Source organism: Homo sapiens, chromosome 7 (genome assembly GCF_000001405.40).
Source record: "Homo sapiens chromosome 7, GRCh38.p14 Primary Assembly".
NCBI classification, from domain to species: Eukaryota; Metazoa; Chordata; class Mammalia; order Primates; family Hominidae; genus Homo; species Homo sapiens.
The window spans coordinates 44,071,214-44,091,167 of record NC_000007.14 but is presented as its reverse complement, the minus strand read 5'-3'; the positions used below and the strand labels follow the sequence as shown (position 1 = coordinate 44,091,167).

Here is a 19,954-nt window from a genome sequence, read left to right as displayed (position 1 = left end):
CTTCCCATCCCTGTCTTCTACCCCAACTTCCGGTCTGGGTTCCACCCCTGACTAGGACTTTGGAGACTCCCTCCATGGCCATACTCCTGGCTTCCAACCCTCCTTCCTCCTTGACCTTCCATGTACCAGGCAGCACGTCCAGCCTCTCAGGACTCTCCATCCCAAGAAACAGCATCCATGACAGCCTTGGGGCTTCCAGCAACTTTCTAGCCCAGGGCTTCTCCTTGGTGCTAATAAATGGAACTCCCCATGTTTGGATCTATTTTATTTCAAGAATGACAGTGGCAAATGGGAAAATACTAAATAAATGACATTGGGTCTGTTTATCCAGGAATGTAATGACATTATAGTCTTCCCTTAACTTAAATGAAATAATTCATGATGGAAACAGTGGACAATTTTGTCACCTTGTGGTAGAGTTGAGGTCAGCAAACATCCCTCTTCTCATAAGCCTTCTTAGCCCCCTGGACCCTTCACCATTGCCAGCCATACCTGAACTGCTGGTTGAGCCTGGGCTGGTTAAACAGATGAACCCAAACAGCCTTCATTTTAAGGACACTTCGCTCCTCCATAAGGAATTCTGCAGCCAAATCCCCTGGCAGGGAGCTGGGAATTCTTCTCTGGACCTCTGGCCCAGTCTTCCCACTCCGAGTCCTGTCCCAGGCTTCCAACTACCCTCTCCCCACCACCCCCGCCACCACCGGTTCTTATATGGAACCCATCCAGCAAGCGGCAATGCACACACTCCTTAAAAGGCAGTAATGGTTTCTCAAAAATAAAGCGTCTCTTTTTGTTATATAACCAGCCAGGTCCCAGGCAAGCCACTAGTGCATCTACTGTCAAAAATACGAATCCCACAGCTCTGATGGATCTACACAAATAAAGAAAGGCTGGCCACTTGCCCCAGGTCACAGAGTCCAGAATTGATCCCTGGCAAAGTGGGACTCAGGCCAGCGGGTTAAAGGGTGGCCCCCCAAATTCATTTCCACCCAGAATGTCAGAATGTGACCTTATTTGGTGTAAGGGTCTTTTCAGGTGTAATTAAGATAAGAATATTGGCCAGGCACGGTGGCTCATGCCTGTAATCCCAGCACTTTGGGAGGCTGAGGTGGGTGGATCACGAGGTCAGGAGTTCAAGACCAGCCTAACCAATATGGTGAAACCCTATCTCTACTAAAAATACAAAAATTAGCCGGGCGTGGTGGCATGTGCCTGTAGTCCCAGCTACTTGGGAGGCTGAGGCAGGAGAATTGCCTGAACATGGGAGGCAGAGGTTGCAGTGAGCCAAGATCATGCTGCTGCTCTCCAGCCTGGGTGACAGAGTGAGACTCCATCTCAAAAAAAAAAAAAAAAAAAAAGAAAGAAAAGGAAAAAAAAAATAAGAATCTTGAGATGAGATCATCCTGAGTTGGGATGGTCTTTCAGGCAAGGTGGCTCATGCTTGTAATCCCAGCACTTTGGGAGGCCAAAGTGGGAGAATCACTTGAAGCCAGGAGTTTGAGACCAGCCTGGGCAACATAGTGAGACATCATCTCCACAAAAAATACAAAAATTAGCCAGGCATGGTGGCACACGCTTGTAGTCCTAGTTACTCAGGAGGCTGAGGCTGGAGATCACTTGAGCACAGGAGTATGAGGTTGCAGTGAGCTATGATTGTGCCACTGCACTCCAGCCTGGATGACAAAAAAAGAAAAAAAAAAAAGCCTAAATCCAATGACTAGTGTCTTAGTGTCTTTATAAGAAAAGGAGAAGACAGCCAGGCATGGTGACTCATGCCTGTAATCCCAGCACTTTGGGAGGCTGAGGCGGGTGGATCACTTGAACCCGGAAGTTCGAGACCAGCCTGGCCAACGTGGTGAAAATCTGTCTCTACTAAAAATACAAAAATTAGCCTGGCATGGTGGCAGGCAACTGTAATCCCAGCTACTGGTTGGGGCTGAGGCAGGAGAATCACTTGAGCCTGGGAGGCAGAGGTTGCAGTGAGCCGAGATGGCACCACTGTAATCTAGCCTGGGTGACACAGCGAGACTCCATCTCAAAAAAAAAAAAAAAAAAAAAAAGAGAGAGAGAAGGAGAAGACAGACACAGAGCAGGCCCAGAGGGAAGGAGGCCATTGCAGGCGGGGCAGAGGGTGGAGTGATGCTGCCACAAGCCAAGGAGCACCAGGAGCATCAGCAGCTTGAAGAGGCGAGGAGGGATCCCCCCTAGAGCCTTCAAGGAAGGGTGGCCCTGCTGATAGCTGGAGTTTTGGCTGTAGTTTCCAGAACTGGGAGAGAATAAATTTCTGTTGTTTTTACCCACCTAGTTTGTGATAATTTGTTATAGCGGTCATGGGATACAAATATACCAGGTTACTCTTAGCCACAGCAATGTGCAGGAATAGATCAGAGAAGGCCCAGGGCCAGCACTGCTGGGGCCAACAGCCCTCAGGAGCTCAGGGCCAGCAGCATCAGCAGTTTGGCCACACACTCTCCCAAATGCTGCTGGCAAGCAGCCCACGGGAGGGAGGAAACCAGGGCAGCAGGGGCAGGCCCCCAAGCAGGGCCACGTCCTGGTCCCCGCAGGCCTCTGGACAGAACGCACACGGGTGGAAACAGCACCAAAGGGAGCTTGGAGAGAGGTGTGCCACAGCGGGGGCGAGGTGGGGAGGGGGGTGCAAAGGTCGTGGGCACTGAGGTATCTCCCCGAGGGACGTCTAGAGCTGAAAGTGGGAACAGGAAACAGCAAGATGAGATTCATCTTGGAAAAATGCAAACTCAATCTGGGCAAAAATAATCGAAAACATAAGTAAGGGATGGGCAGGAATAGTCATGGCTCGGTGGGAGCAGGGAGGGAGGTTGCAGCCTCAGGGCAGCGGAAAGGGCCCAGCCTGGCCGGAAGGTGTCCCGCCACGAGGGTGGCTGGGCAGCCTCCTGACTTTCTGGGAGGCAGTGTCAGAGGAGGGAGCAGGAGGCTGAGGACTTGGACTTCTGGGAATCCCTAAGCCAAGTTTATTGGAACAGCTCACCCAAAACAGAGGGCTGAGGTCTCTACTTCCTGACAGCAGCCTGTGGTACCCACCCACCCAGGCCAGGGCCCTGCCCACTGCTGCCCAGGCCTGCCTTCACCCTCCCCTCTCTCACAGCATTCCCTGGGCCTGTGCTCCTAGGGGAGGCCATGGAGCAGGCTGAGCAGGCACCGTGGACATCTCCAGAGAGAACTCCGGACTCAGAGCCAGGAGGGGAGGCCGGGTGTGTGTCTTGGCTCTGCCGCTCAGACAGAGGCTCCTCGTCCACAAAATGAGAACAAAAACTTATGTTCCTTCCCTCCCTGCCTGCTTCCAAGCAATCCATGCCCTCTGCAGAAATTTTAGAAAGTACAAACAAAATGAAAAATGTTCAAATCACCCACAATTCTACTAACCACTGCAACCATTTGCTTAGCTTTGTTGCACCTCTATTTTCCATGTATGACATATATATGTGTGTTTTTACAAAAACAGCCTCACATTATACATACAGCTGTCTGCTTTCATCAGGTAACCGTGTCAAATCTTCTCATGCCACTGAATATGGCCATAAAGCACCATTTTTTTGTTGCTGTTGTTGTTGTTGTTGTTGTTTTGAGATGGAATCTCGCTCTGTCACCCAGGCTGGAGTGCAATGGCGCGATCTCGGCTCATTGCAAGCTCCGCCTCCCGGGTTCAAGCAATCTCCTGCCTCAGCCTCTCGAGTAGCTGGGATTACAGGCACCCATCATCATGGCCGGCTAATTTTTGTATTTTTAGTAGAGATACGGGTTCTCCATGTTGGCCAGGCTGGTCTTGAACTCATGACCTCACCTGATCTGCCACCCCGGCCTCCCAAAGTACTGGGATTATAGGCGTGAGCCACTGCGCCCAGCCAGCACCAGTTTTTAAAAGTCAGGCTGAGTGCGGTATAGTTGCCATACTGTAAAATTCACCCTTTTCAGTTCATAATTCTATGAATTTGACAAACACAGTCTTGTAACCTGTAACTCCCACCACAGTCAAGATAGAGGACATTCCATCACCCCCAAATGCCTTCAAACTCTTTGTAGTCGACCCCAGCTCCCAGCCTTGCCCATCACTGGTCTGTTTTCTATCCTATAGTTTTGCCTTTTCCGAGTTGTCATATAAATGGGATCAGAGCATATGTGTCTCCTGCCACTTAGCATGAGGCACTGAAGACTCACCCAAGCTGCTGCATTACCGGTTCCCTTCATCTCAATGTTCCTTAGCATTCCATGGGATGCACACACCAGTGTGTGAAGCTGTTCCCTGGGTCAAGAACATCTGGAGTGTTTACAGTTTTGGGTGATTAAGAGTAAAACTTCACAGAATCATTTTTAATGGCTGCATAATATTCCACAGTATGAACACAGCAACATTTATTCCACCAGCTCTTGGTCACTGGATATTCAGGTGGTTCTCAGCTCTCACTTTTACACGCGTAAGCTTCTTGTCAGGGTCTCCATCTCCCTGAAGGGTCCCCTCCCTCTAGAGCAGTGAATCTCAACCTTGGCCACACATCAGTCACTGGGGAACTTTAAAAATGCCAATGTCGGCCGGGTTTGGTGGCTCATGCCAGTAATCCCAGCGCTTTGGGAGACTCAGGTGGGAGGACTGCTTGAGGCCAGGAGTTTGAGACTAGCCTGGACAACATAGTGAGAGCCCCCATCTCTACAAAAAATAACTTAAAAAAATTAGCCAGGCGTGGGGGCACATGCCTGTAGTCCCAGCCACTCAGGAATCTGAGGTAGAAGTACCACTTGAGCACAAGAGCCAAGAGTGATTGTGCCACTGCACTCCAGCCTCGGTGACAGAGTGAGACCTTGTCTCTAAAAAATTAATAATAATAAATAAAATGCCAATGCCCAAGCCATATCCAGACCAATTAAACTGGATTATTTGGGGAGGGGCCTGGGCCTAAGTATTATTTGGAGCTCTTAGGTGTACCCTGCTCCACTGTACTCTGGAGAGGGGATGGTCTGGACCTGTGGGGGGTGGCCACTGCTGCCCCTGTGGCAGTCCCTCTCCCTCCCCAGACCCACTCCTCACTGCCTTCCCACAGTGACCACCACAGACAAGTACAGGGAAACCAGGCCCATTGAAGATGGAAACTCAAAGACAATTTCCAATGTGCAGGAGATAATCTAACCATCTCCTTTCAGTGGGATCTTTTCCATAGCTCAAGGGCCACCCTCTGGGAAGGGCAACTCCTTCCAAGTGCCTCTTGGACACACCCAAGTCCTAACCTGCCCTCGCGACTATGCCTCTTGTTTAAGCTGCAAAAGCTACCTCCAGTCCTGGGGATATTCTTGGCCCTAGTATGGCTCCCCACTGCGCCCCACCCCCATCTTCCAGTGGGACACCCTCCCTCACCCCTCCTCCAGCAGGTATACCTCCCACATCCTCAAGCAGGGACCCCCTCCCCAACCATCCTCCAGCAGGGACACCCCCTCACCATGTTCTCCAGTGGGGGCACTGTTGCAGCAGAGAAAGTTTTGTAATTGCAGGGCCAGACAAGCAAGGAGGATGAAAGATAATTCTCAAAACCACCTCCCCCAGAATTCAGAGGCTAGTGTTTTTAAGGGTGCTTCAGCAAGCAGGGGACTAGGGAGCTGAGACAACTGATTGGCAGTGGATGAAATCACAGAGGTATCAAAACTATCTTCAAGCAGCTGAGTCAGTTTCTTGGTGTGGGTCACAGGTCCAGGTAGTGTCTCTTGGTCTGCTAAAATTCTAAATCTAGAAAATATCTCAAAGTTCTTTAGGTTTCATAATAGTGATTTTTTTTTTTTTTTTTTGAGACGGAGTCTTGCTCTGTCTCCCAGGCTGGAGTGCAGTGGCATGATCTCAGCTCACTGCAAACTCCACCTCCCAGCTTCAAGCAATTCTCCTGCCTCAGCCTCCTGAGTAGCTGGGATTACAGGCATGTGTCACCACTCCCAGCTAATTTTTTTGTATTTTTAGGGAGATAGAGTTTCACCATGTTGGCCAGGCTGGTCTCGAACTCCTGACCTCCAGTGATCCACCCGCCTTGGCCTCCGAAAGTGCTGGAATTACAGGTGTGAGCCACTGTGCCCGGCCTCTATATGAGCAGCTGGAGAAGTTAGAAATCTTGAGATTTCCGGCTATGTGACTCCAGGGCAGTAAGCATTATAGAAAAGCAAGCCAAGTGAGAAACGGCAGGTCGCTGTTTATGCCCATTCTTTAGCAAAGTTCAGGCCCCACCACAATTCTAACCTTGTCTTATGAATGTGGTTTCAATCTCCAAACAAGGAGGGGGTCAGTTTTTCTTGCCTTTAACTATGAACTAAATTCCTCTCATAGTTATGTTGGCCTCTGCACTACAAGAAGAAGAAGAAAAAAAAAGAAATAAGAAAACCAATTTAGTCTGTGAGGTTAGATGCAAGAGGGAGGCAGTCATGTTAGATTTCTCTCATGACTTACAATTCTGCAAAGGTGGTTTCACCTCCACGGCAGGCCACCTCTCCCTGGGTATAGGGCACATCTTCGTCCTGCAGAGCAGGCAAGTCCCTCTCTCTCCCCACCTCCTCACCCCTTCTTGCCCCCACTGGCCAATCTTCATGAATCCTTCAGCCCCATGTTGTCCTAGCAGACACTTTGCAGCAACCACTCAGAGGGCCTGGCTGATTTCTAAGCTAGGCAGTTTCTTCCACTGTCATTTGGATGAGATTCCTTGCACAAACATTTTTGCACAGTTGCCCAGTGTTTTAAGTATTCAGGTCTCATAGTCTTAAAAACTGCCTCTGCCTTCCCAGGAGAGAACAAGGGCTCCAAGGGGAGCCCAGGTGCTCTGGCCAGACAGAGGACATTAAAAGGAACAGAAATGGTTTTAGACAGCTAGAGGGATCTGCTCAGGGGATATTTGGGCAGAGCCTCCTCCTTGAGAAGGGTAGGAGCCAGATCCACAGACGAAGACCCTTAGAGCCTGCCCATCCCTGCTGGCACAAGGGGAGGATGGGGAGAGAGGGACCATACGCAGGCCTCCTGGCTTCTGTATGTGGGTCCTGAGGCCCAGGAAGCTCTACAGCCCTGAAGAGGTAGATGAATTAGGAGGCTGGGAGATGGTGTAGGAGGTCAAGAGGATGCCTGGGCTGAGCCATCTCCCCCACTCCCCTCAGCCCTGTGCTCTGAGTGCAGAGATGGGGAAGAGCCAGCCCACTAAAGATGTCAGAGAGGAGCCAAAGAAAAAGGATAGGTGCTCAAGGAGTCTGGGGCTCAAGACTGAGGACGATGGGGCAGTGATGAGGAGAGGCATGTGGAAGGGGGTTGCATCTGATCTGGTGTCCCATCAGTTAGGCTGAGCAGTGCCACACTACCGTAACAGAGGTTACAAATGGAGTATATCTAAATAAGATAGACAGAAGACTTGATATTATCAAGACATCAGATTTCCCCAGCTTGATCTATAGATTCAATGCAATCCCAATCTTGGGAAAGGAATTGCTGGATCAATGTGTATTATTTTGTTTTCATTTTGTTGGATGTGGTTGCCACATTGGCTTCCACAGTCCTTCCTATGGATTGCCAATTACCTCGCACCTTCAACATGTGTGGTCAATTTTTTTGAATGTTTGATAAACCCACAACTGAAGATATTCTCATTTAGGTATTCTGTAACGACTGGACAGGTTGGGCACTCTGGTCATAAATTTATTGACCAGGATTTCTTCTAAGAATCATCTACGTGAGTTTTTTTGCTAATTTTTCTATTAAATTATTGTCTTTTTATCTATGGACAATTTGATAAGATTATCATGAGATAATCTTAATTCCAAAATATCTCACACTTTATCCCAGTTTATCTTCTGACTCTAATTTTTAATCAGATTTAAAATTTGTCTGTAGTCCAGTTTATCATTCTTTTCCTTTAGTGTTTCCAAGTTTATTGTGATATTTAGATCATAAAAACATTCACCGACTTTTTTCCAGTACGTTGTTGGTTTCCTTTTTAGATGGAAATGTTTGACCCATCTGGAATTTATTTTGGTGTTAAGGAATGAGGAAGGGCACCAACTTCTATTTTTCCAAATGGCCTGCCAGTTGTCCTAATGCCATTCGACTGAAAAATCTTCCCGCGTGTTTGAAGCGACCGCCCCACCAGCGCATTGGAAACCCGCGTGTCGGTCCTGCGCCCGCCGGCTTCCGTGTGACAGTCCCGAGCGCAGAGGGATCGGGCACAGCCCGCACGCGTCCGCCCCGAGCCGCCGGCTCAACCCTAGACCCAGCCCCGGCGCCAAGGACACAGCCCACCCCGCTCCGCCCGGGCCTAGGTCCCAGTTCACCCTCCCTAGCCGGGGACGCCCCCTTGACCCCGCCTCCTCCACCCCCTCCAACACCCTCCCCGCCCCGCTCCAGCCCAGCCTCTCCTCCCGGAGGCCAATGGGGCCGAACAGCGCTTTCCGAGACATTAATTTAAATAAAAGGCGGGTCCTCTGCCGTTATTTGCATGGAGGCGGGTCTTCCGGAGCGGCCGGGACACCCAATCCTGTAGGAGCCCGGACCCTCCCCAGCGCTCCGACTGGCCCAAGTAGCGAGCCCCACGGAGAGGCCTCATTTGCATAGGGCGGGGCCACGTCCTCTTCCAGCCGGCGGCCGCCCGCCCGCCCACCCGCTTCCGTCAGCCTCACTGGGGCTTCCTTCCGTCTCGCTCGGAGTTTCCCTCTGCGTTCGCTCCGCGCTGCTGGAGGCTGTCGTCCCAATGCTCCCCAAACGGCGGCGAGCGCGGGTCGGGTCCCCTAGCGGCGATGCCGCTTCCTCCACGCCGCCCTCGACGCGCTTCCCGGGAGTCGCCATCTACCTGGTCGAGCCTCGCATGGGTCGCAGCCGCCGGGCCTTCCTCACAGGCCTGGCGCGCTCCAAAGGCTTCCGCGTCCTTGACGCCTGCAGGTGCGGGGCGGCGCGGCGCGGCGAGGGCTTCCATGGCACTTCTGGTTTTGGATTCTAAGTTTGCAGTGGCACTTCGTGGTCTTGTGACCTTTCCCTGAGCCTCCATCTCCTCTTCTGTAAAGGGTGCTATTAATTAGGGCGAGGCGTGTTTTAAAGGATCACTGCGAGAATCAAAACCAGAGGTCAGGGGTAATTAATAAGCAGTAGGCCGGGCGCGGTGGCTCACGCCTGTAATCCCAGCACTTTGGGAGGCCGAGGCGGGCAGATCACGAGGTCAGGAGATCGAGACCATCCTGGCTAACACGGTGAAACCCCGTCTCTACTAAAAATACAAAAAATTAACCGGAGGTGGTGGCGGGCACCTGTAGTCCCAGCTACTCGGGAGGCTGAGGCAGGAGAATGGCATGAACCTGGGAGGCGGAGCTTGCAGTGAGCCGAGATCGCGCCACTGCACTCCAGCCTGGGCGACAGAGTGAGACTCTGTCTCAAAAAAAAAAAAAAAAAAAGTCGTATTTGCTAACAGCCCTTCTGCCTGGGCTATGTCCCACCTGTGAGCGAGACTGACTTCTCAAGAGGCCCGGAGCCCGCAGGCTCCTCTGTCCTCAGGCCTGAGTAAATAACACGACTGAGAAGCTCTTGTAGGAAGGGAACCAAGAGAAGAAAAAATGGCGGCTACAGAGACAACACCCAGAGTAAGGGAGCTGGGGGTGCCCCCTAGTTTGGAGGTTGAGAGAGCAAACGAACCTGGGGCTAGTATTCCCCCACAGTTGTGTTTGATTTTTTAACATTACCAGGGATCAGTAGTGCGCCAGACCCACTCAGGAGAGGATGATAGCAGCTTAGAGTGTACAAGGCACTATCTTTGTACAACAACCCCACAGGGTGGATATGTTATCTCTGCTTTACAGAAGAGGAAATCAAAGTATAGACACGTGGCTTGCCCAAGAGCCAAACAAGTATGTGGCAGGCAGAGCTGGGGTTCAGACCCAAACAGGCTCCTCCATCTCTGCTGAAACCCTTGCTCTTAGATGAAGACCACCTGGTCCTGACCCTAAGGAATTCCTTTCTTTGAGGTGAAGAGGGAGGGAGAGAGCACAAGACTGGGCTGTGCTTGTGAACATAGCCAGGGCAGAGAACTACGGTTCTGAGGGCTGAGTGGTGGAGGTGTTCATCTACCAGGAGGAGGGGCTGGGAAGGCTTTCTGGAGGAGGTGACGTTTGCAGGATGAATGGTCACTTACCATGCAGAAGGGACGGCAAGAGTGAAGGCTTGGAGCCAACCAGGACGGGCTCTGGGCCTCACCCTCCTCCTTCTCTCCCAACTCCCTCCACCAGCTCCGAAGCGACACATGTTGTGATGGAAGAGACCTCAGCAGAGGAGGCCGTCAGCTGGCAGGAGCGCAGGATGGCAGCTGCTCCCCCGGGTTGCACCCCCCCAGCTCTGCTGGACATAAGCTGGTTAACAGAGAGCCTGGGAGCTGGGCAGCCTGTACCTGTGGAGTGCCGGCACCGCCTGGAGGTGAGCTGGGTGGAAGACTAAAGTGGGGGCTACAGTGAAAGCCCCAGTGTAGGCCATTGCTCAGCTGGGACAGGTGACATGGCAGCAATGCCTCAATGTCCTTCAGAGGAGGTGGGCAGTGAAGACTCTACCCAGATCACCAGGGGCCCCCTATAAACCAGTAGAGGAACCACAGAAGGGGCTGAGGGGGCCAGGCCATCTCAGCTTCTGTTCTCACCACTGATGCAAATTCTGGGGTCTGCTTATTTTTACCTTCTTCAGGCCTTTCTTCCTCACCAAGTAGATGACACAGCAACTCCGAGCGGGATGACCCATGGGTTAGCAGGAGCCTGTCCTCTGGATGCTATAAGGCTCCCGGCCTCTGACAGGTGTGGGCTTGGGGCCAGGTTGCCTGCCTTCAAATCCTGGCCCAGCCTGTGAGCCATGGTTGTGGGGCAAGCCCCTAGCCTCCAAGGCCTCAGCATCCCCAGCCCGCTTGGTTGTGAGGATTGGGGTGATGGAGTACATGCATCATGTGCAGCAGCAGGAGAAGTGCCCACAGGGCTGGCAGATGTGATTGCTGCTACCCTGGCATGAGGAGCCCCATGCACAGCCTGTTCTGCAGGGCGGTGCCTCCCTCAGCCTCATGCCGCTGGTGTTTTGTTGCCCACCTCTGTCCCATGAGCTCCAGAGGGCCCGAGTTGGACACCCCAGGAGAAACAAAGCCTGAGTACGGCCTGGCTCTCCTGCCAGCCCTGCAGCCTCACAGTGACCTGTTTATTGCCCATCCCCAGGTGGCTGGGCCAAGGAAGGGGCCTCTGAGCCCAGCATGGATGCCTGCCTATGCCTGCCAGCGCCCTACGCCCCTCACACACCACAACACTGGCCTCTCCGTAAGCCGCTTCTATGAGCCTTGGCCAGCCCTGGGGGTTGGGGACAAGGGTACAGATGGGTGGTAGGTGGGGGATTGGAGCTGCCCACCCTGCCCCTTACCTAGGGCCCCTCCCTGCAGGAGGCTCTGGAGATACTGGCCGAGGCAGCAGGCTTTGAAGGCAGTGAGGGCCGCCTCCTCACCTTCTGCAGAGCAGCCTCGGTGCTCAAGGCCCTTCCCAGCCCTGTCACAACCCTGAGCCAGCTGCAGGGGCTTCCCCACTTTGGAGAACACTCCTCTAGGGTTGTCCAGGTAGGTGCTTACCATCCTAGCAGGGTGAGTGGGTGGGTGGGGAGGCCTTGGGGCCTGGTGAGACAGCAGAGGGTGCTGTGGGGGTGGGTGAGGACAGACAGTCGTGGGTGCTGACACTGCTCCAAGGCCTCAACAAGCCACCCTCTGCGCTCAGATTCCTCCTGTGCACACTAGCCATTTACTCCTGGGTGGCCTAGAGGACCCAGTGAATGGCGCTGTGAGGGGCCTGGCAGGGCTAGGGGTGACACTGTTGTCATTGTCATTAGTCCCAAACTGCCCTCCACAGTGGAATGAAAGAGAGCACCCTGAGTGTGAGCATCTCTTTTCAGTGCCCCAGTGTGTTTAGTTGTCCTTTAGTGCACTTTCATTGCAAGAATACACAGTGACAGAAGATGCTTTTAAATGAAGTAGTATTGAGTTCACATGTTCTGAAAAGCAATTGTTTATGTATCTTGGGACTTATTTGACTGAGAGATGATCCACGTTACCTGGCATCTCAGCTGCTGTAACTCCAGGCCCGAAGGAGCTTTGAGGCTGGAGCCCTGACCTCCCAGCTGTGTGGCAGCAACTTTGGTCACCTCCCTGGGCACAGTCTCCATTTCCAGGTCCTACTGGACCCTGACCTCACAAAGTTGTCTCTGCCGGGTGTTGGAGGGGACTGCCTCAGTCCTTGGGCCCCCAGCCCTGACCCTAACTCCCCGCCCTTCTCTTTCTTCCCACGCCCTCAGGCTTAGAGTTCTGCTTTGTTCCCTCCCCCAGGAGCTGCTGGAGCATGGAGTGTGTGAGGAGGTGGAGAGAGTTCGGCGCTCAGAGAGGTACCAGACCATGAAGGTGCGCAGGGCAGGGCTCGGACCTACCCCAGGAATGTCCTGCCCTGGGAATGACAACACAGTCCACACCATGCACGGGGAGGCAAACAGGGGCAGCTGACCCAGCCCAGGGGTCAGAGAAGGTCTTGCCGAGGAAGTGGCAGCTAAGCTGATACCTGATATGCACAAGGCAGCCAAGTGGAGACAGGCAAGGAAGAAGCTTGTTTTGAGGACAGAATTTTCTAGATCACTCAGCACCATCTGGCTTTTGGGGCTTTTTGTTTTATTTTGTTTTTGAGACAGGGTCTCGCTCTGTCGCCCAGGCTGGAGTACAGTGGTGCGATCACAGCTCACGGCAGCCTTGACTTCCTGGGCTCAAACCATCCTCCCACCTCAGTCTCTGGAGTAGCTGGGACTACAGGCATGTGCCACCACACCAGGTTAATTTTTAAATCTTTCTCGTAAAGATGGGGTCTTGGTAATGTTGCCTAAGCTGGTCTCAAACCCCTATGCTCAAATGATTCTCCTGCCTTGGTCCCCAAAATGCTGGGATTATAGGCATGAGCCACTTCGCTCTGCCTTGACTGTTTTTGATGGAATATTCTCAAGTAGATTACATGCTGTGGCATCTTAAACAGAGCACTGTGAACCAAATGTACCCTTGGGTGCTGCCACTGAGCATGCTGGGCTTGCCCTTGCCCGCCTTCTGCAGGACCTTATGTGTTATTTTCTCAGTGTTGTCAGCCTGCCTGTTTCCATGGCCACCTTCCCTCTGTTTCTGCTCACTCCTGGTCTGATAGGGAAATGCCGTCTGAGTTCTTTTGGATGCCTCGGGTGTGCCTGCTTTGACACCCTTCTGCCAACTGGCTTTGTGGCTGGAGGTGTCACAGCGGTGGCCACATGGATAACTGTCAGTGAAGTGTGGCTTCCTGGGTGGATGGGGCCTTGGGAGGTCACACAGAATGTTGTCAGGATTGACAGGGAGGGCTTCGAAGAGGAGAGACTTGAGCAGTGTGTGCAGGGCAAATGGGCTCAAATATGCAGGGAAGGGGGCAAGGGGCACTGGCAGGGACAGGGGACCAGATGAGTGGGGCCACCGTGGTGAGTGTGGGAGTGAGGGGCCTGAAGATGATGAAATCCCCTTGAAGTGGTGTGAGGTTAGTGAGTACTTTCACTGTCAGCCTCAGCCCCAGCCCTGAAGGCATCTAGGCTGGCAGAAAATTACATTAGTAATGAGAAGTTTATTAACAATATAATTGGGTTAATCTCATCATTTTTAGTCAGGATTCTTTGGGTTGCAAGTGACAGTGACCCACCCCACACCGTTGGTTCACAAAATAAAGGAAAGGAGGGCCAGCAGAGCCCAGGATGGGGAGGGCTGTGGCCGGTCTGCAGGACAACTGGGCTCAGCGACCTGGGTATCACCAGGCCACTCCTCCTCCCCTCTGCCCCTCTGCACGGTGGCTTCGCCCTCTCTTGCGACGCACCAGCTTCTTCCATCGGTTGGAAATGTGGCCACAAAAGGTGCTCGGCTGCCACAGGCTACAGCTTCTGCCACTGTGTGGGCCTGCCCTCAGTCTCAGATCCAGAATTCCTAGGGAGGGACTCTAGTGGCTGACCTGAAGCAGGTGACTTGCTTGGGCTGGGGCCCACCCTCTGTGGGAAGATATGTGAGCACCCCAGCCAGCCCTGCCAACTCTGCTCCTAAATCCACCCTTTTGATTGTTAACTCCTCATTGTTTTTTGCTGTTGGCTAAGGAGGAGAACCACAGAAATTTGTTCCACCTTCTGTTAGGTGGGAGAGGCATGGTTTTTCCAGTGACTTAGGAGCCCCTCGTGCTGATGTGTTAGGGTGACTGTTTTGATTATGTTGGAATCACAGGCTAGAGCTGTGTAAGTCCCTTTCATAGAGGAGAGGAGAGGGGTGTGCGTGGGTTTGTTCCCAGAGACGGCAGGCTGGGTAGTCAGGCTCCAGGTTTGAATCCTTGCCCTGTGGTCTACGGCAGGTTGCGAGTGGGGACGGCGCCTGCCTGGTGCATGGTGCTCCATGGGCCACACCGTCCCGGAGCGGGTGATCATCCGAGTCTAGCCATGAGAGCTCTGCCCAACCGGGCTACGCTCCTTCCCCACAGCTCTTCACCCAGATCTTCGGGGTCGGTGTGAAGACTGCTGACCGGTGGTACCGGGAAGGACTGCGAACCTTAGATGACCTCCGAGAGCAGCCCCAGAAACTAACCCAACAGCAGAAAGCGGGTGAGCCCTCCAGAGAGGCTGGGCCCTGGGCTTCCCTAAACTGCACCCTGGATCCCTCAGCATCAACTCCCTAGAGGGAAGGGAGCAGTCTGGTGCAGAGGGTTTGGTGGCAGCTTTGTGTGGTGGGCTTCCTGGGGTCTCCACCCAGTGCAGTCAGGATCTATCAAAGCCTTTTCTCAGTGGACGATGCTGACCACAGCAACTTCCATGATATGCCAGGGGCTTGTGTCTGCCTACTGGTTAGACTTTGACCAGTGACCAGGGACAGCCTGGGCCTTGGGCACACTGCCCAGTGTGGTGCTTGGTACATGGAGGCCTGCAGAGGTGGCACTGAGCAGCAGAAAGAACATCAGCTTTCAAGTTTGTTAGGCCTGGGTTTGAGTCTTATCTACCATTTGCCAGGTAGGTGACCATTGCCCAAGAAATAACCTCTCTGAGTCTGTTACATTTTCTGTAAAATGGAGAAGGAAGGCTGGGCATGGTGACTCACACCTGTAATCCCAGCACTTTGGGAGGTCAAGGTGGGTAGATCGCTTGAGCTCAGCAGTTCAAGACCAGTCTGGGCAACAGGGTGAAACCCTGTCTCTACGAGAAATACAAGAGTTAGCCAGGCGTGATGGTGGATGCCCGTAGTACCAGCTACTCATGAGGCCGAGGTACAAGGATCGCTCGAGCCCGGGAGGTCAAGCCTTGAGGCCAAGGTGGAAGTTGCAATGAGCTGAGATTGAGCCACTGCACTCCAGCCTGAGTGACAGAGCAAGACCCTATCTCAAAAAAAAAAAAAAAAAAAGGTGGGAAGGAATGAATTCGTAGGCTCCCCTGTGAGAGCCGGCAAGTGGCAGGTGTTGAGCAGATACTCTGTTCTCTCTGCATGGCCTGCCTGGCTACTCTGGCCACACCATCTGGGACCTCCCTTGGGTTGAGGGCTCTGCTGAAGCAATCCCCACAGCCCAGCAGGCACTGCCAGCTCCACTGCCTCTTCGCACATCTTCCCCCGGGCCACTGCCCAGTTCAGCTGACAGGAGGTGAGACCCGCAGAGCTGGTTCCTCTTGATCGCCTCTCCCCATGGCAAGAGTAGTCAGGAATGGTTAGCAGCGTTTACTGAGAGCTCACTGTGCCAGGTGCTGCTGTTCCTCACATTTAAACCTCTCCTTAGCTGGGTGCCATGACTCACATCTTTATGTAGTCCCAGCACTTTGAGAGGCCGAGGCGGGTGGATCACCTGAGGTTAGGAGTTCAAGACCAGCCTGGCCAACGTGGCGAAACCCTGTCTCTACTAAAAATAAAAAATTAGCTGGGTGTGGTGGCAGACACCCGTAATCTCAGCTACTCGGGAGGCTGAGGCAGGAGAATCACTTGAACCTGGGAGGTGGAGGTTGCAGTAAGCTCAGATTGCGCCACTGCCCTCCAACCTGGGCAACAAGAGCGAGACTCCATCTCAAATAAATAAATAAACCTCTCCTTAACTGCGTGTGGGAGGCTGATAGGTGAGGAAACAGAAGTAGGCCAGAGTGAGGTGTTCGTCATGGCAAAGCCATCTTCCATCCTTTTACCACCTCTTGGTCCCACTTTATGCATAAGGAAAAACAGCCATCAAAAGAGATAGCCTGTGGCATGACTGTATCAACATCAGTATCCTTATATTTGGTTGCAAAATTATAGTTTTGTAAGGGGTTAACCTTTTGGGGGAGCTGGGTAAAAGGCACATGGGATCTCCCTCTGTGCTATTTCTTTTAACTGCGAGTGAATCTACAACTGTCTCAAAATAAAAGTTTAAAATTTAAAGGGGGAGAGAAGATAGTGTCAGGCTTAGATTGGGATCTCACTCTGCTCCCTGCCCTAGCCTCACCTTCCTCGGAGGCCTCTCCTGGTCCTGCAATGACGGGGCCCCAGGTTGATCACCTCATGCTGGTGAGGGATGGGGGCTCGGTGTGGTGGGCAGGCTGGGTGAGTCAGGAGGGCCGGTGTTGCCCCCAGGGCTCCAGCACCACCAGGACCTGAGCACCCCAGTCCTGCGGTCCGATGTAGATGCCCTGCAGCAGGTGGTGGAGGAAGCTGTGGGGCAGGCCCTGCCTGGGGCCACCGTCACGCTGACCGGCGGCTTCCGCAGGTAAGAAGGCCCGACGTGCCCCTCTGGCTTGGCTTCAGACCCCTCCCCAGTGAAGGGACCTGAGTCGGGGACCCTGAAGCGGGCCCACTCGTTGGAAGGGATGTGGCCTGGGGCTGGAGTGAGCAGGCCGTGTCCCTGAGTCAGAGTCAGACTGACGCCCTCAGGGGGAAGTTGCAGGGCCATGACGTGGACTTCCTCATCACCCACCCCAAGGAGGGTCAGGAGGCGGGGCTGCTGCCTAGAGTGATGTGCCGCCTGCAGGACCAGGTGAGGGCCTCCCTGCTCCCCAAGAGCCACCGCTGGCCAATGCCACTGCCTCCTGCTCTCTCCACACCACCGGATGGTCTCAGCCACGCCCGCCTCTCCCCACAGGGCCTCATCCTGTACCACCAGCACCAGCACAGCTGCTGTGAGTCCCCTACCCGCCTGGCCCAACAGAGCCACATGGACGCTTTTGAGAGAAGTTTCTGCATTTTCCGCCTACCACAACCTCCAGGGGCTGCTGTGGGGGGATCCACGAGGCCCTGCCCATCCTGGAAGGCCGTGAGAGTGGACTTGGTAGTTGCACCCGTCAGCCAGTTCCCTTTCGCCCTGCTCGGTTGGACTGGCTCCAAGGTAGGCAGTGTGCCGCTGGGCCGCCTGGGGGTGGGGCTGGGCCAGCCCTGCTGAGGACAATCCCTTCCCTACAGCTTTTCCAGCGGGAGCTGCGCCGCTTCAGCCGGAAGGAGAAGGGCCTGTGGCTGAACAGCCATGGGCTGTTTGACCCGGAGCAGGTACATTGTTGGGGACTGGGGACAGCAAACAGCACCCATAGTCCGCTCCCTGACCCACAATCTGAAATGGCCCCAGACCCCTCCAGCCTGAAACCCATAGGACCCGAATCTGGGTCTCCACACACAGTTCCTGGCCCTCAAGAGCACACCCCACCTCGGCGCTGGGCTCTTCCCCACCCTCAGTCTTCCTGCAGGGAAGCAGCAGTGGCAAGACTCCTAGGTCACGGAAGTCCTGCTTCTGTTGCAGAAGACATTTTTCCAAGCGGCTTCAGAGGAAGACATCTTCAGACACCTGGGCCTTGAGTACCTTCCTCCAGAGCAGAGAAACGCCTGAGCCTGCCTGTGTCCCCCACTTCCACTCAGGAAATTGGGCTGCCCCCAACCTGGCCACTGAATGTCTCCAGGCAGATATGCTGCCCCCTGACCCCCACCTTCACCCCTCCCCGCCAAGGCCTGGCTCTTCCGGAGGTCAATTGTGCCTGCAGGATCAGTTGAGCCCCTGCTGGTGTGCTGCAGGGTGTGATGAGGTGGGAGCCCTCAGTGCCAGCCTCATCACTGTGTGACCCTGGGTCTGCTCTTAGCCTCCCCATGGCTCACGTTCCTGCCCTGGATGGGATGTGAGTGGGGCCCACATCGTGGAGCTGTGGTGGGGCCTGCAGTCATGAATGGCAAGTGGTCCCTGATGTGCAGTGTCTCATTAGTTGCACTGCAGTTAACTGTGGCTCCTGCAGGGCACCCTGCCCAGAATGCCCAGAAGAGAACCATGCATACCTGCACTGCATTTGAGAGCCATGAGCTGGAGGCTGTGGTTCGTGCCAGCAAGGAGCCTACTGTCTGGTGTGCTGTAGGCATCTGGAGAGGGAGAGGGCCTGGGTAGGAGCTGGGAGGAAGATAATTTTCAACTATGGGGCTTCAGTACTGCAGCGCCCCGAGCCAGGCTCTGTGCTTCTGCCTTTAAGGCCTGTTCTCAGCACAATGTCTCAAAAATAGGTCATATCCTGCCACTCCCGTCGCAGAGCCCTTTAATGGTTCCAAACCCTAAGTCCACACATAGCCCCTGGCTCTGGCATCTCTCCAGCCCCACTGGCCCCGAGCTGCTTGACTCACCGGCTTCCTATTTGATGCACCCAGGCCCCCTTGTGGCCAACTCCCTCCCCTTCTCACTGAGGCAGAAGCACTGAGGTGGGCTGGACATGGGTGCCCTCCACGTCCCTCATATCCCCAGGCACACTCTGGCCTCAGGTTTTGCCCTGGCCATGTCATCTACCTGGAGTGGGCCCTCCCCTTCTTCAGGCCTTGAATCAAAAGCCACTTTGTTAGGCGAGGATTTCCCAGACCACTCATCACATTAAAAAATATTTTGAAAACATGCAGTAAAGTTGACTCTTGGGGTGCAGTTTTTGCACACGTAGGGCACACCAGGTCCATCCCCAGAACACTTCCCATGCTGTCCTATTGTGGTCATGTGCTTCTCCACCCCCACCCACTTAGCGGTGCTACATCCCTATAGTTTTGCTTTCTCTAGAATGTCATGTAAATAGAACCAAACTATATTTAACCTTTGGACTGGCCTCTCCCCACAGCCTAATGCCTTTGACGTTCCTGCAGGTTGCTGGGTATGTTGAGTTTGTAATTTGTTCCATGCCATGGGTGTTCTACAGTTTATCCATTCAGGTGTTGAATGTCTGGGTTGTGGCCGGATGCCGTGGCTCATGCCTGTAATCCTAGCACTTTGGGAGGCTGAGACGGGTGGATCACTTGAGGCCAGGAGTTTGAGACCAGCCTGGCCACCATGGCGAAACCCCATCTCTACAAAAAATACAAAAATTTGCTGGGCATGTTGGCTCATACCTGTATTCCCAGCTACACGGGAGGCTGAGGCATAAGAATTGCTTGAACCTGGGATGCCAAGGTTGCAGTGAGCTGAGATTGTGCCACTGCACTCCAGCCTGGGCGACAGAGCAAGAGTCTGCCTAAAAAGAAAAAAAGTCTGGGTTGTTTCCAGGGTTTGGAGATGATGAATCGTACTGCTACAGACATGCATGTACAGGTTTTCGTGTAACACATGGGTCTTCATTTCTCTTGGGTAAATAGGCACAGGATTACTGGGTCATTTGGTAAGTATATGTTTATTTCATAAGAGCCAAGTTGTTGTCCCGAGTGCGTCTGTCATTTTGCAGTCCACCAGCGTTGTGAGCACCCCTGTAAGTTAAACACCACAGTAGGCAGTTGCTCTGTATCCCTGTCAGCACTTGATAGTTGCAGTATTTGTTAACTTTAGCTTTTCTAGTAGTAGGTACATAACAGTAGCTCACTGTGGTTTTATTTTCATTTCCCTAATGCCTGATAACGTTGAACATCTGTTCACTGGCTTCTATGTCCTCACTGGTGAAGTGGCTGTTCAAGTCTCA

The 19,954-nt window shown here is 53.4% G+C and overlaps 1 protein-coding gene and 1 non-coding gene across 8 annotated transcripts, besides 6 other annotated features; both read left to right on the top strand.

Moving 5' to 3' along the window:
* Positions 8,073-8,652: a silencer, noted in NCBI's record as "silent region_18141". NCBI's record gives its function as "represses an Ori minimal core promoter by ATAC-STARR-seq in GM12878 lymphoblastoid cells {active_cell/tissue: GM12878}" and the evidence as "EXISTENCE:reporter gene assay evidence [ECO:0000049][PMID:35858748]".
* Positions 8,073-8,864: a biological region, named in NCBI's record as "H3K27ac hESC enhancer GRCh37_chr7:44121903-44122403".
* Positions 8,364-8,864: an enhancer, noted in NCBI's record as "H3K27ac hESC enhancer chr7:44121903-44122403 (GRCh37/hg19 assembly coordinates)". NCBI's record gives its function as "activates a minimal SCP1, AML or CMV promoter by ChIP-STARR-seq in primed H9 embryonic stem cells {active_cell/tissue: H9 hESC(primed)}" and the evidence as "EXISTENCE:reporter gene assay evidence [ECO:0000049][PMID:30033119]".
* Positions 8,638-19,106, top strand: POLM (DNA polymerase mu). 7 transcript variants are annotated; one of them, NR_104299.2, is made up of 11 exons: positions 8,638-8,917; positions 10,252-10,435; positions 11,209-11,307; positions 11,427-11,597; positions 12,357-12,412; positions 14,539-14,659; positions 16,638-16,770; positions 16,948-17,037; positions 17,143-17,385; positions 17,460-17,543; positions 17,791-19,106. NR_104299.2 is itself a non-coding variant. In NM_013284.4 (11 exons), exons 1-11 carry the CDS (start codon positions 8,730-8,732, stop codon positions 17,875-17,877), a joined length of 1,485 nt encoding a protein of 494 aa, NP_037416.1. In that variant the 5' UTR covers positions 8,638-8,729; the 3' UTR covers positions 17,878-19,106. The 7 variants fall into 7 exon arrangements, 4 of the variants coding, with proteins under 4 accessions (NP_037416.1, NP_001349612.1, NP_001271260.1 ...); NR_156112.2 differs by having other exon boundaries at positions 12,357-12,428; positions 17,738-19,106; NM_013284.4 differs by having other exon boundaries at positions 12,357-12,428; positions 16,935-17,037.
* Positions 10,704-11,611: an enhancer, noted in NCBI's record as "H3K4me1 hESC enhancer chr7:44119156-44120063 (GRCh37/hg19 assembly coordinates)". NCBI's record gives its function as "activates a minimal SCP1, AML or CMV promoter by ChIP-STARR-seq in naive H9 embryonic stem cells {active_cell/tissue: H9 hESC(naive)}" and the evidence as "EXISTENCE:reporter gene assay evidence [ECO:0000049][PMID:30033119]".
* Positions 16,730-16,799: an enhancer, noted in NCBI's record as "active region_25929". NCBI's record gives its function as "activates an Ori minimal core promoter by ATAC-STARR-seq in GM12878 lymphoblastoid cells {active_cell/tissue: GM12878}" and the evidence as "EXISTENCE:reporter gene assay evidence [ECO:0000049][PMID:35858748]".
* Positions 16,870-17,069: an enhancer, noted in NCBI's record as "active region_25928". NCBI's record gives its function as "activates an Ori minimal core promoter by ATAC-STARR-seq in GM12878 lymphoblastoid cells {active_cell/tissue: GM12878}" and the evidence as "EXISTENCE:reporter gene assay evidence [ECO:0000049][PMID:35858748]".
* On the top strand, positions 17,735-17,790 carry MIR6838 (microRNA 6838). Its single transcript, NR_106897.1, has one exon. It is a non-coding gene; the product is annotated as a microRNA 6838 (primary transcript).
* Positions 19,107-19,954: the final 848 nt, after the last annotated feature.

What these genes read in the sequence shown, in the direction of transcription:
- POLM (NM_001362683.2), top strand. Translation starts at nt 8,730, where the DNA reads ATGCTCCCCAAACGGCGGCGAGCGCGGGTCGGGTCCCCTAGCGGCGAT. An exon ending in AGTGCCGGCACCGCCTGGAG is followed by an intron (nt 10,436 to 11,208) that starts GTGAGCTGGGTG and finishes GCCCATCCCCAG; the next exon opens with GTGGCTGGGCCAAGGAAGGG. An exon ending in CTGACCGGCGGCTTCCGCAG is followed by an intron (nt 16,771 to 16,934) that starts GTAAGAAGGCCC and finishes TGACGCCCTCAG; the next exon opens with GGGGAAGTTGCAGGGCCATG.